The following is a 16,970-nucleotide window of genomic DNA, read 5'->3' as shown; positions in this document are numbered from 1 at the left end:
ACCTAGAGACCATTCTAGAGATCAAAGCATTTCCCTTTTATAATACTGTCTGTATATTACGGAAGCTCTTTTCACATAATATGACTCGTCTGCGAAAGTTTATGGTTTACTTTGGAAAGAACCAAAGTTTGCAGAAGATACAGAAAACTCCTCTCTTTGTGGCGGCGATCTGTGCTCATTGGTTTCAGTATCCTTTTGACCCATCCTTTGATGATGTGGCTGTTTTCAAGTCCTATATGGAACGCCTTTCCTTAAGGAACAAAGCGACAGCTGAAATTCTCAAAGCAACTGTGTCCTCCTGTGGTGAGCTGGCCTTGAAAGGGTTTTTTTCATGTTGCTTTGAGTTTAATGATGATGATCTCGCAGAAGCAGGGGTTGATGAAGATGAAGATCTAACCATGTGCTTGATGAGCAAATTTACAGCCCAGAGACTAAGACCATTCTACCGGTTTTTAAGTCCTGCCTTCCAAGAATTTCTTGCGGGGATGAGGCTGATTGAACTCCTGGATTCAGATAGGCAGGAACATCAAGATTTGGGACTGTATCATTTGAAACAAATCAACTCACCCATGATGACTGTAAGCGCCTACAACAATTTTTTGAACTATGTCTCCAGCCTCCCTTCAACAAAAGCAGGGCCCAAAATTGTGTCTCATTTGCTCCATTTAGTGGATAACAAAGAGTCATTGGAGAATATATCTGAAAATGATGACTACTTAAAGCACCAGCCAGAAATTTCACTGCAGATGCAGTTACTTAGGGGATTGTGGCAAATTTGTCCACAAGCTTACTTTTCAATGGTTTCAGAACATTTACTGGTTCTTGCCCTGAAAACTGCTTATCAAAGCAACACTGTTGCTGCGTGTTCTCCATTTGTTTTGCAATTCCTTCAAGGGAGAACACTGACTTTGGGTGCGCTTAACTTACAGTACTTTTTCGACCACCCAGAAAGCTTGTCATTGTTGAGGAGCATCCACTTCCCAATACGAGGAAATAAGACATCACCCAGAGCACATTTTTCAGTTCTGGAAACATGTTTTGACAAATCACAGGTGCCAACTATAGATCAGGACTATGCTTCTGCCTTTGAACCTATGAATGAATGGGAGCGAAATTTAGCTGAAAAAGAGGATAATGTAAAGAGCTATATGGATATGCAGCGCAGGGCATCACCAGACCTTAGTACTGGCTATTGGAAACTTTCTCCAAAGCAGTACAAGATTCCCTGTCTAGAAGTCGATGTGAATGATATTGATGTTGTAGGCCAGGATATGCTTGAGATTCTAATGACAGTTTTCTCAGCTTCACAGCGCATCGAACTCCATTTAAACCACAGCAGAGGCTTTATAGAAAGCATCCGCCCAGCTCTTGAGCTGTCTAAGGCCTCTGTCACCAAGTGCTCCATAAGCAAGTTGGAACTCAGCGCAGCCGAACAGGAACTGCTTCTCACCCTGCCTTCCCTGGAATCTCTTGAAGTCTCAGGGACAATCCAGTCACAAGGTATACCTGTATATATTTTGGATGACTATTCTGATGTATAATTTCTTTTTCTTACTTTAAGTGGTTGAAAACTTCTGAGGCCATGAAAGCATGCATGCTCATTGATAGAACAGATATAAAATAAACCTTCACTAATTTTTTTTGACAGTAGCATGAATTAGTGAAAAGTCCTTGAATAATAGAATGGTTTTCAAATAACTCAGACAAAATGAATAAAATATTTATATTAAATTATTGAAGGTTCTTAATAAAGACATGAATTATCTGTTATTAGTAAAAGAATTAGCTATATGTAAGATGATGCTTAGAAATTACCTTCACCCTAGCTGCCTAAAGGAAGAAAGGCCTGTAGTCCCTGGGAAATAAATAAATTAATGGGAAATAATATCTTCATCTATTTGTGTCTTAACTCCTCTAAGCACTATTTGATAGTTTTCAGTGTAGACTTAACCCATCTTTCATTAAATTTATTCCTAGATACTCATATCTTTTGAAAGTATTGTAAATGTCATTAAAAATATTTTTTCATTTTCTAATTGTTGCTAGTATTGCTTTGGTCTTAAGCAGTTTGACTGTTATATGCCTAGGTGTGCTTTGCTTTGTATGTATCTTGCTTGAGGTGCACTGAACTTTTTTGGAATGTGTGGGTTGACATTTACCAAATTTAGAAAATTTTTCATCTTTTTTCAAGTACTGTTTTATTATGGTAAAATACATGTAACAAAGCTTACATTTTAATCATTTTAAGTGTACAACTCAGTGGCATTAAGCATTCACTATGTTGTACAACCATCACCACTATCCATCTCCAGAACCTTTTCATCATCCCAATTAAACAATAAATTGGGCCGGGCGCGGGGGCTCACGCCTGTAATCCCAGCACTTTGGGAGGCCGAAGAGGGTGGATCGCCAGAGCTCAGGAGTTTGAGACCACCCTGGGCAACATGGTGAAACCACATCTCTACTAAAATACAAAAAATTAGCTGGGCGTGGTGGCATGCGCCTGTAGTCCCAGCTATTCGGGAGGCTGAGGCATGAGAATCACTTAAGCCTGGGAGGCAGAGGTTGCAGTGAGCCCAGATCATGCCACTGCACTCCAGCTTGGGCTACCGAGTGAGACTCCGTCTCAAAAAAAAAAAAAAAAAAAAAAATCTTCCCTCCCACCAGCCCCTGATAACTTCTCTTCTATTTTCTGTCTCTATGAATTTGCCTCTTCTAGATATTGTTTATAAGCATTATCACTTGTCTGGCTTATTTCACTTTGCATACTGTTCAAGGTACATCATGTTGTAGCCTATATTGGAATTTCATTCCTTCACATGTACTCCATAAATATGTACAATTATTATGTATCAACTTTGAAAAGGAACTTCATCCTTTTTATAGCTAATATTCCATGGTATGTATATAGTACATTTTGTTTATCCATTCTGCTGCTGAGAGACACTTGGGTTGTTTCTACCTTCTGGCTATCATAAATAATGCTGCAATGAACACTGGCATTATAAGTATCGGTTTAAGTTCTTGCTTTTAATCATTTTGGGTATATACCTAGAAGCAGAATTGCTGATTCATATGGTAGTTCTATGTTTAACTTTTTGAGGAACTTGCACAGTAGCTGCACCATCTTACATTCCCACTATCCATGTACAAAGGTTCCAATTACTCCACATCCTCTTCAGCACTTGTTAATTTTTGTTTTTGTGGAGACAGAGTCTAATTCTGTCACCCAGGCTGGAGTGCAGTGGCGAGATCTTGGCTCACTGCAACCTCCACCTCTCGGGTTCAAGCAATTCTCCTGTCTCAGCCTCCTGAGTAGCTGGGACTACAGGTGTGCACCACCATACCTGGCTAACTTTTGTATTTTTAGTAGAGATGGGGTTTCGCCATGTTGCCCAAGCCGGTCTCGAACTCCTGAGCTCAGGCAGTCCAGCCACCTTGGCCTCCCGAAGTGCTAGGATTACAGGCATGAGCCACAGTGCCCGACCTGTTTTTGTTTTCATTGTTGTTTTTCAGACAGTGTCTTGCTCTATTGCCCAAGCTGGAGTGCTGTGGTGCAATCATGGCTCACTGCAGCCTCAACCTCTTGAGCTCAGGTGATCCTCCTGCCTCAGCCTCCTGAGTAGCTGAGACTACCAGCATGCACCACCGTGCCTGGATAATTTTTTATTTTTTGTAGAGACAGATTCTTGCTATGTTGCCTAGTCTGGTCTTTTTTCTTTTTCTTTCTTTTTTTTTTTTGAGATGGAGCCTCGCTCTGTCCCCCAGGCTGGAGTGCAGTGGCGCAATCTCGGCTCACTGCAAGCTCTGCCTCCTGGGTTCACGCCATTCTCTTGCCTCAGCCTCCCAAGTAGCTGGGATTACAAGCTCCCGCCACCACACCCAGCTAATTTTTGTATTTTTAGTAGAGATGGGGTTTCACCATGTTGGCCAGGCTGGTCTTGAACTCCTGACCTCAGGTGATCCACCCACCTCGGCCTCCCAAAGTGCTGGGATTACAGGCATGAGCCACCGTGCCTGGCCCCTAGTCTGGTCTTGAACTCCTGGGCTCAAATGATCCACCCACCTTGGCCTTCCAAAGTGCTGGGATTACAGGTATGAGCCACCTCACCCAGCCCATTTTGTTTTGTGATTATCATAAAGCCGTTCTAGTAGTTGTGAAGTGGTATCTCATTGTGGTTTTGATTTGCATTTCTCTAATGCAAATCATGAAAATGATGTTAAGTATCTTTTCACTTTTTGAAAAAATATGTTTGCTCATTTAAAAATTGTTGTTGTTTTTGTTGCATTGTAAGAGTTATTTGTATATTCTGGATTTCAACCTGTTATCAGATACACAGTTTGAAAATATTTTTCCCATTCCATAGGTTGTCATTTTACTTTATTTATAATGTCCTTTGTGCACGAAAGTTTTAAATTTTGACGAAGTCCAATTTATCTGTTTTTTTCTTTTATTGCTGGTCCTTTTGGTGTCCTATCTAAGAATCCATTGCCAAATCCAAGGTCATGAAGATTAACTCCTATGTTTTTTCTAAGAGTTGTGTGATTTCAGCTTTTATATTTAGGTCGTTGATCCATTTTGAGTTGATTTTTTTTACATGGTGAGGGATAGGAATCCAACTTCATTCTTTCGCATGTGCAAATCCAGTTGTCCCCAACCGTTTGTTGAAGAGATGCTATATTTCTTTTCTCTTCTTTTTTTTTTGAGACGGAGTCTCACACTGTAGCCTGGGCTGGAGTGCAATGGCGCGATCTTGGCTCACTGCAACCTCCGTCTCCCAGGTTTATGTGATTCTCCTGCCTCAGCCTCCTGAGTAGCTGGGATTACAGATGCACACCACCATACCCAGCTAATTTTTTTTTTGTATTTTTAGTAGAGACGGGGTTTCACTATGTTGGCCAGACTGGTCTCAAACTCCTGACCTCGTGATCCGCCCGCCTCAGCCTCCCAAAGTGCTGGGATTACAGGCATGAGCCACTGCGCCTAGCCGAGATGCTGTATTTCTTTTTGTGAGTCTGAAGAGTAGCACAGGGCTTCCCATACAGTGCATAAGCTGCAAAAAGCAATATCTTCATATATGTATTCTTTAAAAAAAAAAAAGAATGTTTTATGGTATGTGGAAGGTTTGCATGTGAAAATAGCTGGATGAATCAAAATGACAGTTTTAAAATGTCCATTCAGAACTCTTTAGATTAATAATGGGAAACTGTGCTGCTTTCCAGACCAAATCTTTCCTAATCTGGATAAGTTCCTGTGCCTGAAAGAACTGTCTGTGGATCTGGAGGGCAATATAAATGTTTTTTCAGTCATTCCTGAAGAATTTCCAAACTTCCACCATATGGAGAAATTATTGATCCAAATTTCAGCTGAGTATGATCCTTCCAAACTAGGTAAGGATGGCACTTTAATATACTTGTTTTTACGTAAGTTGGAAAAGCTACTTGGCCAATAATTTATTTAAGAGTTAAAGTGCCTGTGGTTCTAAGGGTGTAGCCTGTATCCATGGTAAATTGTGAGGAATAGCACTCTTTCTCATTAAGAAAGCAGAGTGCTGTTTGTAATTATTGAGCCTTTACTACACACTAGGAAGTATTCTAAGCACTTCACAAATATGAACTCAGTCTTCATACCCACTCTATGAAGTAAAGTACTATTATTATTATTATTATTATTATTTTTTTTTTTTTTTTGAGACAGTCTCGCGCTGTCGCCCAGGCTGGAGTGCAGTGGCACGATCTCGGCTCACTGCAAGCTCCTCCTCTCAGGTTCACCATTCTCCTGCCTCAGCCTCCCAAGTAGCTGGGACTACAGGTGCCTGCCACCACGCCCAGCTAATTTTTTGTATTTTTAGTAGAGACGGCGTTTCACCGTGTTAGCCAGGATGGTCTCGATCTCCTGACCTCATGATCTTCCCGCCTCGGCCTCCCAAAGTGCTGGGATTACAGGCATGAGCCACCGTGCCTGGCCAAAGTAAAGTACTATTATTAATGCTATTTTGTAGCTGGGAAAACTGAGACATAAAGAGATAAAGTAATTCGTAATATCCAGCTAAGGAAATGTATATCTGTGACTCAAATACAGGAATTTTGACTCCAAAATCTGAGTTCTTAATCCCTAATATAGGCCGGGCCTGGTGACTCACACCTGTAATCCCAGCACTTTGGGAGGCCGAGAAGGGCAGATCACCTGAGGTCAGGAGTTCGAGACCAGCCTGACCAACATGGTGAAACCCTGCCTCTACTAAAAATGCAAAAATTTGCTGGCATGGTGGCATATGCCTGTAATCCCAGCTACTTGAGAGGCTGAAGCAGGAGAATTACCTGAACCTGGGAGGCAGAGATTGCAATGTGAGCCGAGATCGCGCCATTGTACTCCAGCCTGGGGAACAAGAGTAAAACTCCATGGGGAACAAGAGCAAAACTCCATGGGGAACAAGAGCAAAACTCCATCTCAGAAAAAAAAAAAAAAAAAAAGAAAGAAATCCCTAATATAATGTTGCCACTCCAAAATAATTTGTAGGGTTATTTTATTTTGTTTTTGGTTAGGCTGGTCTTACATTGCAACTTACAGATCTGGCAGCTCAGCAGGAAGGAAATCTGCTAATCCGTAGTCATTGGAAGTATTTCCCTGTTTCTCACCAGCCTATCCTAATAGTTCATGGAAAATGGTGCAGCCATCTTTCTTAAATACATCATTTAGCTAAATGACTTAGGCACCATCATTCCTTAACTTAGTAAACACTGAACACTAAAGATTGAAGAAATATACAACTCTATGGAATTGACATAAAGACTTGCATGCAAAAGCTTCATTGTTGGCCAGGCACAGTGACTCACACCTGTAATCTTAGCACTTTGGGTGGCCGAGGCGGGAGGATCGCCTGAGAGCAGGAGTTCAGCACCAGGCTGGGCAATATAGCAAGACATCGTCTCTACTAAAAAAATAAAAAATTAGCCAAGTATGATGGTGTGCACCTATAGTCCCTAGCTACTCAGGAGGCTGGTAGGATCACTTGAGTCCAGAAGTTCAAGCTTGCAATAAGCTATGATCATGCCACTGCACTCCAGCCTAGGTGATAGAGCAAGACCCTGTCTCAAAAAAAAAAAAAAAATATATATATATATATATGTGTGTGTGTGTGTGTGTGCATACATATATACACCGAAGCTGGAGGTGGTAGTTATATTTGTCAGCAAATTTTGCAACAAATTTAGGTTTTGCTTCAGAGTTGTCATTCCTTTTATGTTTCTTTTTTTTTTTTGAGACAGAGTCTCAATCTGTCACCCAGGCTGGAGTGCAGTGGCACCGTTGTCAGCTCACTGCAACCTCCGTCTCCTGGGTTCAAGCAATTCTCCTGCCTCAGCCTCCCAAGTAGCTGGGATTACAGGCGCCCATCACCATGCCCGGCTAATTTTTTAATATTTTTAGTAGAGACGGGGTTTCACCATGTTGGCCAGGCCAGTCTCAAACTCCTGACCTCAGGTGATCCGCCCACCTCAGCCTCCCAAAGTACTAGGATTACAGGCGTGAGCCACTATGCCCAGCTGTTTCTTTGTATAGTATTCTTTTTTTTTTTTTTTTTTTTGGAGATGCAGTCTTGCTCTGTTGCCCAGGCTGGAGTTTGGTGGCGCAATATCCACTCACTGCAACCTCTGCCTCCTGGGTTCAAGCGATTCTCCTGCCTCGGCCTCCCGAGTAGCTGGGATTACAGCTGCCTGCCACCCACGCCTGGCAAATGTTTGTATTTTTAGTAGAGACAGGGTTTCACCATGTTGGCCAGGCTGGTCTCGAGCTCCTGAGCTCAGATGATCCACCTGCCTCGGCCTCCCAAAGTGCTGGGATTACAGGCATGAGCCACAGCACCTGGCCTCTTTGTATTCTTATTGTGTAAATGTCATGTACAAACTTAGAGTTATTAGGTGTTAAAGCTGAAGGTGATGCTACTGAGTCAATGCCTGTATTTTATAGAAGAGAAAACTGTTACCCAGAGAGGGTCAATAATGTGTCAAAATTCACATTACTTGCTAGTTGCAGAACCTGAACCCAAGCCCAGTGACCTGATTCTTAGATCATGAGATCGTGGTACCTGGTTTTAATTAAGTATTATTGAAACAAAATAATAAACTACTTGGCTAATTTTGATAGAAATTTGCAGTATTTTCTAATTTCTGAAAATCCTTGATCTTTTACAGTAAAATTAATTCAAAATTCTCCAAACCTTCATGTTTTCCATCTGAAGTGTAACTTCTTTTCGGATTTTGGGTCTCTCATGACTATGCTTGTTTCCTGTAAGAAACTCACAGAAATTAAGTTTTCGGATTCATTTTTTCAAGCCGTCCCATTTGGTAAGAGTTATAATATTACAATGGTGGTTTAAAATGTTTCTATGGACACAGAGTCATATTAAGCACTCTTTAAAAAGGGCCATATTTTGAGGCTGGGTGTGGTGGCTCATGCCTGTAATCCCAGCACTTTGGGAAGCTGAGGCAGGAGGCTTGCTTGAGGTCAGGGGTTTGAGACCAGTCTGGGCAACATAACAAGCCCTCCACCTCTAAAAAGCTTTAAAAAAATCAGTCGGGCACAGTGGTACCTATAGTCCCAGCTACTAGGGAAGCTAAGGCAGGAAGATTACTTGAGCCCAGAAGGTTGAAGCTGCAGCGAGCTGTGATGGTATCACTGCACTCCAGCCTGGGTGACACAGACCTTGTCTCTTTAAAAAAAGAAAGAAAGAAAAGAAAAATTGTTTCTCAAATAATAAAGTATAGGTGTTTCCAGAATTTTCTTTTTTACCTTTACGCTCAGTTGGATTTGAAATTTCTAGAATTTTAACAACATTTCTAGTTATCAGAATTATTTTCTGAGCAAAAATTTGTTTTATCTACTTAGTCATATGAATTCAATCTGAATTATTACATTAATTTCTAATTTCTTCATTTTAAAGATGTTACACTTTGCTGTGAGAGATGTAGCTGACATAACTAAATTTTTATTTTCCCTTTCATAGTTGCCAGTTTGCCAAATTTTATTTCTCTGAAGATATTAAATCTTGAAGGCCAGCAATTTCCTGATGAGGAAACATCAGAAAAATTTGGTATGTTTACAAAATAGTGCTTTTTACGTATTCTTATTCTCTTTCTGCCCAGAATCCTTTTTCTCCTATTCTGAATTAGCCACAAGGAAGCAAGATATGCATTAGCTACCCTTGCTTACCAGAACGAAGTGATAGTCATGCTCAACTTCTACCCACCAAATGCCTTCACTACAGTTTTACCTGCAGACTTGATCTCATTCAAAGCAGAATGACTTCTTAGAGTACATATTTGGTCATTATAGCACTATGCAATATAATTGTCAGGTATCTGTTCCAAATATAAGACCTCATAGTTTCAAAGGTTACTAGAATATAGGTAAAAATCTATCTTTTAAGGTTAGGAAAACTCAATACGTGAAAACGTGTATTTCATAAAATGATAGCTATAGAATTTAAATACTTTTTGATTTTTAAAAAACGATTATGAAAGTAATGTATGCTCATGGAAAACATTCTAACAGGAAAAAAAAAAAATAAAGGGAGGCAGTGGAGATAGGGACTGTAGAGCTGTGCTATTCAAAGTGCTTCTCAAACATAAGCGTACATAAAGATTGCCAGGATCCTCCTCTTCCCTTCCTTGGAGGCAGCTAGGTGGGTGGGGGCTGAGGTGGCAGAGGTAGGATCAGGGCCAAGGGGATGGCTGGCATACATCATAGGTTGATTAAGCAAATAATACAGTGAGTATAGCCAGATGCAGTGGCTCACACCTGTAATCCCAGCACTTTGGGAGGCCGAGGTGGGTGGATCACCTGAGGTCAGGAGTTCAAGACCAGCCTGGCCAACATGGTGAAACCCCATCTCTACTAAAAAATACAAAAATTTGCTGGGCGTGGTGGCACATGCCTGTAGTCCCAGCTACTTGGGAGGCTGAGGCAGGAGAATCTCTCGAACCTCGGAGGCAGAGATTGCAGTGAGCCAAGATCAGGTCACTGTACTCCAGCCTGGGTGGCAGAGCAAGACTCTGTCTCAAAAACAAACAAACGAACAAAACAGTGAGTATAATGAGAGCCACGTTTCCTCACAGTTGGAAAAGGAACTTACAAATATTGAAAGGTGAGGCTAGAAAGAGCTTTGAGGTGTTGGATTAGAATTGGAAATATTGGTCTGGCCTCATGGTTTTTTCTAACCTATGAACATACATAGAGATCTCCATATATATACATTGATCTCCACATGTCTATAGATACACACATACATATTTCTCAGCTCAATGGAGAGACTAGAAGGCACTGCAGTAATAATGAACACACCAAGTGCCTAGATACTGATTTCTAAATCCTGTCCTTCCGTAAAGGAACCAGGGTCCTTGCAAAATTGGCTGATTCAAGAACTGAGACAGGGAAAGAAAATGATAAGCCTGGGACATTGATTTATGCTAGAAATTATTCAATATATTTCCATGTGTGAGGCCTCAGAAGTTACCTTTCTAATGATCAAATGATCTATCGTGTGCCATGCTAGGAAGGAGTCGAAGTGAAAAGGAAGGTTCTAAGAGTGGTGGACTGTGAGGCTTTAGGGCCAGGAGGCCGGTGCAGAATCACTGAGCATGACAGCGGGAGGTGGAATGGGAAAGGAGGTGGCTGAAGGCATTGCAGAGCTGGGAAAGGAACCTGCAGGTCAGGAAAAGCTTCATTCTAAACGAGGAATGGAGATTTAATTGGCAGCCTGGACTTTAGTGCAGGAGAGATTGGTTGGTAGGGTGTGGTGGAGGAATTGTCTGGAGGAGCGAGGAAGACGGAAGCATGTGCTGGCCCTTCTCTTGCTTCCTGGACTGTGCATGATGTTTAGACCATACATGATTTTCAGATTACTGTTGCATAGGAACAAAAAGTACAAAGAGAATAGCTTTTTGGTCTTTTCTGACAGCCTACATTTTAGGTTCTCTTAGTAACCTGGAAGAATTGATCCTTCCTACTGGGGATGGAATTTATCGAGTGGCCAAACTGATCATCCAGCAGTGTCAGCAGCTTCATTGTCTCCGAGTCCTCTCATTTTTCAAGACTTTGAATGATGACAGCGTGGTGGAAATTGGTGAGCTAGTGTTTCAGCTTGCATGGAAGCCAGTGGTATAGCCAAGCTTTCTGCTGCAACATGTCTATGTAAACATTTGCCCCTCTAGAAATTTTCAACCCGCTTCCTCATTTTCACTATCATACTGTTCCTTCTAGTGTCCTTCTGTGGATTTAGGCGCATTCTGGTCAGATTTGGAAGTACAAAAAGGTCTCCCATTTGTGGATATACAAGCCCTCAAATCTGCGTTCTTGCCACCTGGTGTTTTAGACACCTGGCCACATACTCTCCTAAGTACTCCTTTTTAAAACTGAAGATGAATATACACACAGAAAAGTACAAAAATCATGTGTACTGCTCACTGAATTTTATTTTCTTATTTTCTTCTTTTTTTTTTTTTTGAGACAGAGTTTCGCTCGTGTTGCCCAGGCTGGAGTACAATGGCACGATCTCGGGTCACTGCAAACTCTGCCTCCTGGGTTCAAGCGATTCTCCTGCCTCAGCCTCCCAAGTAGCTAGGATTACAGGTGAACGCCACCACACCTGGCTAATTTTGTATTTTTAGTAAACACAGGGTTTCACCATGTTGGCCAGGCTAGTCTCGAACTCCTGACCTCAAGTGAGCCACAGTGCCTGGCCTGAGGAACTGAGATTTCTGTCGAGACCTGAAGGGAGAATGGCCCAGGCATAGTTGGTAGAGGAGGAATTGAGACATCATTTCAAACAGAGGTAATCACTTGTGTCATAGCCTGGAGTTAAAGAGAACCAGATATATTTGAAGAACTTGGGGGAAAAAAAGGAATGTCTGGAGCAAGAGGCAGGAGTGAGTTGTGAGAAGAAGACTGGAGAGGAAAGTAAAAGCCCAATTGGAGAGGCTTTGTCGGGTGTGTTACAAGGGCTGGATCTCATTTTCTTACTGCTCAGCACTGTTATTTTACGTTATTTAAAACAGCTGGGAGCGGTGGCTCAAGCTTGTAATCCCAGCACTTTGGGAGGCCGAGGCGGATGGATCACGAGGTCAGGAGATCGAGACCATCCTGGCTAACATGGTGAAACCCTGTCTCTACTAAAAATACAAAAAATTAGCCAGGCGTGATGGCGGGCACCTGTAGTCCCAGCTACTCGGGAGGCTGAGGCAGGAGAATGGTGTGAACCCGGGAGGTGGAGCTTGAAGTGAGCCAAGATCATGCCACTGCACTCCAGCCTGGGCAACAGAACGAGACTCCGTCTCAAAAAAAAAAACAAAAAACAAAAAACAATGACAACTTACAACGTTTTTCTTAAAGGCCTTGTTTCTTCCTCCTTATGAGGAAGAATTTAATAACATTAAATTTTGTGGTCTCTCTCATCCTCATTTACTATAAATTATTTGTGTTTTATTCTTCTCACTACATTAGGTCAAAGCCTTCCTTAGAACTTCAATCTCACACACAGATTTGAGCCAGTAACCCCTGTCGCTCTCCCTCCTGAGAGCAGGTGTTTTCTCTTCCCGGCGCCCAGCAGAGTATGCCTGGCCTATAGTGGGAACTCAGTAAATATTTGTTGACTGAATAAAGAAAACTTACTTTTCTGTAGCTTCTTCTGATGGACAGCTGAGAGGCCATTGTTTGCCTATAGTCAGTAATGCTTAAACTTTACCTGTAGGAGACAGCATTCAGACACATCACAGAACCGGCTAATCACACAATATGAAGTGGGAGTTATGCTGAAACAGGGGAAAGAAGGGAATGGATGTGAAAGACCTGAGTCTTTCTTCAAGTCCCTCCAGAAGTGTCTTTCATGTGGGGGAATGAGAAATATCTCTTGAATGTTACTGAAGATACCTATTCAGGACATAGCTGAAGACATTTTCTCAGTACCTCTGTTGTTTAACCTCAGTCAAGCTACAGCCATGGATTCTAGATTGAAACCAAACTTAACCTTTGCCCAAGTTAGAAAAAAAAAGAGGTTTAGCAATTAAAAACAAGGCTGGGCATGGTGGCTCATGCCTGTAATCCCAACACGTTGGGAGGCCAAGATAGAAGGACTGCTTGAGGCCAGGAGTTTGAGACAAGATTGGGCAACATAGCAAGACCTTGTCTCCATAAAAAATTGAAAAATTAGCCAAGCACGGTGGCTAGTCCTGAGTAGCTAGGACTCAGGAGGCTGAGGCGGGAGGATTGCTTGAGCCCAGAAATTCTAGGCTGCAGTGAGTTATAACTGAACCATTGCACTCCAGCCTAGGCAACCAAGTGACACCCTGTCTCAAAAAAAAAAATTTTTTTTTTTTTAAAAACCCCTAAACCAAACAACAAGAACTCTGCTTGGTACCCATTCCAAAGTCTAGTCAGCCTGTGTTCATTGAGAACACAGGGTGTGCCCGGCTTCCATTTCCTTCAGAGCCCTTAGTCTCAAAAACAGGAGGGTCCCTTCTGGGCAACAGAAATAGGGCATAGCAGTGGACAGTCGGATGACATGGCTTTAGGAATGTCACACCCCCTTCTCTATAAAAGGGGAAGACATAATTGCTACACTCTTTGAAGTCCCTTGTAATTTAGTCTGGATTTTTTTTTTTTTGTTTTCTCTTTTTGTTTTTTAGACGGAGTCTTGCTCTGTCACCCAGGCTGGAGTGCAGTGGTGGGATTTTGGCTCACTGCAACCTCTACCTCCCAGGTTCAAGCTGATTCTCCTGCCTCAGCCTCCCGAGTAGCTGGGATTACAGGCATGTACCACCATATCCGGCTGATTCTTGTATTTTTAGTAGAGATGGGGTTTCACCATGTTGGCCAGCCTGGTCTCGAACTCCTGACTTCAAGTGATCTACCCACCTCGGCCTCCCAAAATGCTGGGATTACAAGCGTGAGCCACTGTGACTTGCCAATTTAGTCTGGTTTGTAGGCATGATGTACCTTGGCATGTGACCTCCTGTGAGACCAAAAGAGAAGCTCATATTTGTCCAGGATGGTGAAACTCTCAGCACAATGGCGTCAGTGCTTTAGGCTTGGCTGTACTTCTTTGGTTTCTGCTTCTCCCTTAGATTTTTGCCAGGTGGTTCTTTATTAACCCATCAGCTCTTTGGGGTTTTTAAGGAGATATTTTCAAAATATTATATTAAGCTGGGCACAGTGACACGTGCTTGTAATCCCACCTACTTGGGAAGCTGAGGCAGGAGGATCACTTGAGTCCAGGAGTTTGAGACCAGCCTGTGATGGCCAGGCGCGGTGGCTCACGCCTGTAATCCCAGCACTTTGGGAGGCCAAGGCGGGTGGATCACAAGGTCAGGAGATCGAGACCATCCTGGCTAACACAGTGAAACCCCGTCTCTACTAAAAATACAAAAAATTAGCTGGGCATGGTGGCGGGCGCCTGTAGTCCCAGCTACTCGGGAGGCTGAGGCAGGAGAATGGCATGAACCTGGGAGGCGGAGGTTGCAGTGAGCTGAGATCATGCCACTGCACTGCAGCCTGGGTAACAGAGCGAGACTCCATCTCAAAAAAAAAAAAAAAAAAAAAAAAAAGAAAGAAAGAAAAAGAGACCAGCCTGTGTTAACATAGCAAGACCCCATTTCAAAAAACAAAATTATATTGAGTACTTCCTACTAGCAGTAGTGGTGGGAGAGGAGGCTGGTTCAAATAACCTTGTCTACCATTATTGAAATGGAAGTCCTTATGATTCTATTTTCATGAATGTTTTGTTCTTGTAGCCAAAGTAGCAATCAGTGGAGGTTTCCAGAAACTTGAGAACCTAAAGCTTTCAATCAATCACAAGATTACAGAGGAAGGATACAGAAATTTCTTTCAAGCACTGGACAACATGCCAAACTTGCAGGAGTTGGACATCTCCAGGCATTTCACAGAGTGTATCAAAGCTCAGGCCACAACAGTCAAGTCTTTGAGTCAATGTGTGTTACGACTACCAAGGCTCATTAGACTGAACATGTTAAGTTGGCTCTTGGATGCAGATGATATTGCATTGCTTAATGTCATGAAAGAAAGACATCCTCAATCTAAGTACTTAACTATTCTCCAGAAATGGATACTGCCGTTCTCTCCAATCATTCAGAAATAAAAGATTCAGCTAAAAACTGCTGAATCAATAATTTGTCTTGGGGCATATTGAGGATGTAAAAAAAGTTGTTGATTAATGCTAAAAACCAAATTATCCAAAATTATTTTATTAAATATTGCATACAAAAGAAAATGTGTAAGGCTTGCTAAAAAACAAAACAAAACAAAACACAGTCCTGCATACTCACCACCAAGCTCAAGAAATAAATCATCACCAATACCTTTGAGGTCCCTGAGTAATCCACCCCAGCTAAAGGCAAACCCTTCAATCAGGTTTATACAGCAAACCCTCCATTGTCCATGGTCAACAGGGAAGGGGTTGGGGACAGGTCTGCCAATCTATCTAAAAGCCACAATATGGAAGAAGTATTCAATTTATATAATAAATGGCTAACTTAACGGTTGAATCACTTTCATACATGGATGAAACGGGTTTAACACAGGATCCACATGAATCTTCTGTGGGCCAAGAGATGTTCCTTAATCCTTGTAGAACCTGTTTTCTATATTGAACTAGCTTTGGTACAGTAGAGTTAACTTACTTTCCATTTATCCACTGCCAATATAAAGAGGAAACAGGGGTTAGGGAAAAATGACTTCATTCCAGAGGCTTCTCAGAGTTCAACATATGCTATAATTTAGAATTTTCTTATGAATCCACTCTACTTGGGTAGAAAATATTTTATCTCTAGTGATTGCATATTATTTCCATATCATAGTATTTCATAGTATTATATTTGATATGAGTGTCTATATCAATGTCAGTGTCCAGAATTTCGTTCCTACCAGTTAAGTAGTTTTCTGAACGGCCAGAAGACCATTCGAAATTCATGATACTACTATAAGTTGGTAAACAACCATACTTTTATCCTCATTTTTATTCTCACTAAGAAAAAAGTCAACTCCCCTCCCCTTGCCCAAGTATGAAATATAGGGACAGTATGTATGGTGTGGTCTCATTTGTTTAGAAAACCACTTATGACTGGGTGCGGTGGCTCACACCTGTAATCCCAGCACTTTGGGAGGCTGAGGCGGGCGAATCATTTGAGGTGAGGAATTCGAGACCAGCCTGGCCAGCATGGTGAAACCCCATCTCTACTAAAAATACAAAAATTAGCCAGGTGTGGTGGCACATGCCTGTAGTCCCAGCCACTAGGGCGGCTGAGACGCAAGACTTGCTTGAACCCGGGAGGCAGAGGTTGCAGTGAGCCAAGATGGCGCCACTGCATTCCAGCCTGGGCAACAGAGCAAGACCCTGTCTGTCTCAAAACAAAAAACAAAACCACTTATATTGCTAGCTACATTAAGAATTTCTGAATATGTTACTGAGCTTGCTTGTGGTAACCATTTATAATATCAGAAAGTATATGTACACCAAAACATGTTGAACATCCATGTTGTACAACTGAAATATAAATAATTTTGTCAATTATACCTAAATAAAACTGGAAAAAAATTTCTGGAAGTTTATATCTAAAAATGTTAATAGTGCGTACCTCTAGGAAGTGGGCCTGGAAGCCATTCTTACTTTTCAGTCTCTCCCATTCTGTACTGTTTTTTGTTTTACTTTCGTGCCTGCATTATTTTTCTATTTAAAACAAAAATAAATCTAGTTTAGCACTAAAATATTAACTGGAGCTACCTCTGGAGGGCAAGAGTACTAGAAGGTGGGATGGATTGTCTTCTTGCTTGTCTGATTTTATATGTAATACCTTTGTAATTAGAAAGGTTGTTAAGCATTATATCAGAATCCAGTCAGGAGACAGAAACCACACAGAAATTTGAATGGGGAAAGTTTAATATACAGATGCTCGGCCTGACG

The 16,970-nt window shown here is 41.8% G+C and overlaps 1 pseudogene; it reads left to right on the top strand.

The window, feature by feature from the left end:
- Positions 1 to 16,970, top strand: part of NAIPP2 (NAIP pseudogene 2) — a 35,600-nt pseudogene extending 18,630 nt beyond the window's left edge.

The sequence above is a fragment of the Homo sapiens genome, chromosome 5 (assembly GCF_000001405.40).
Source record: "Homo sapiens chromosome 5, GRCh38.p14 Primary Assembly".
Classification (NCBI taxonomy): Eukaryota; Metazoa; Chordata; class Mammalia; order Primates; family Hominidae; genus Homo; species Homo sapiens.
This window is presented reverse-complemented; position numbering and strand designations above follow the sequence as displayed.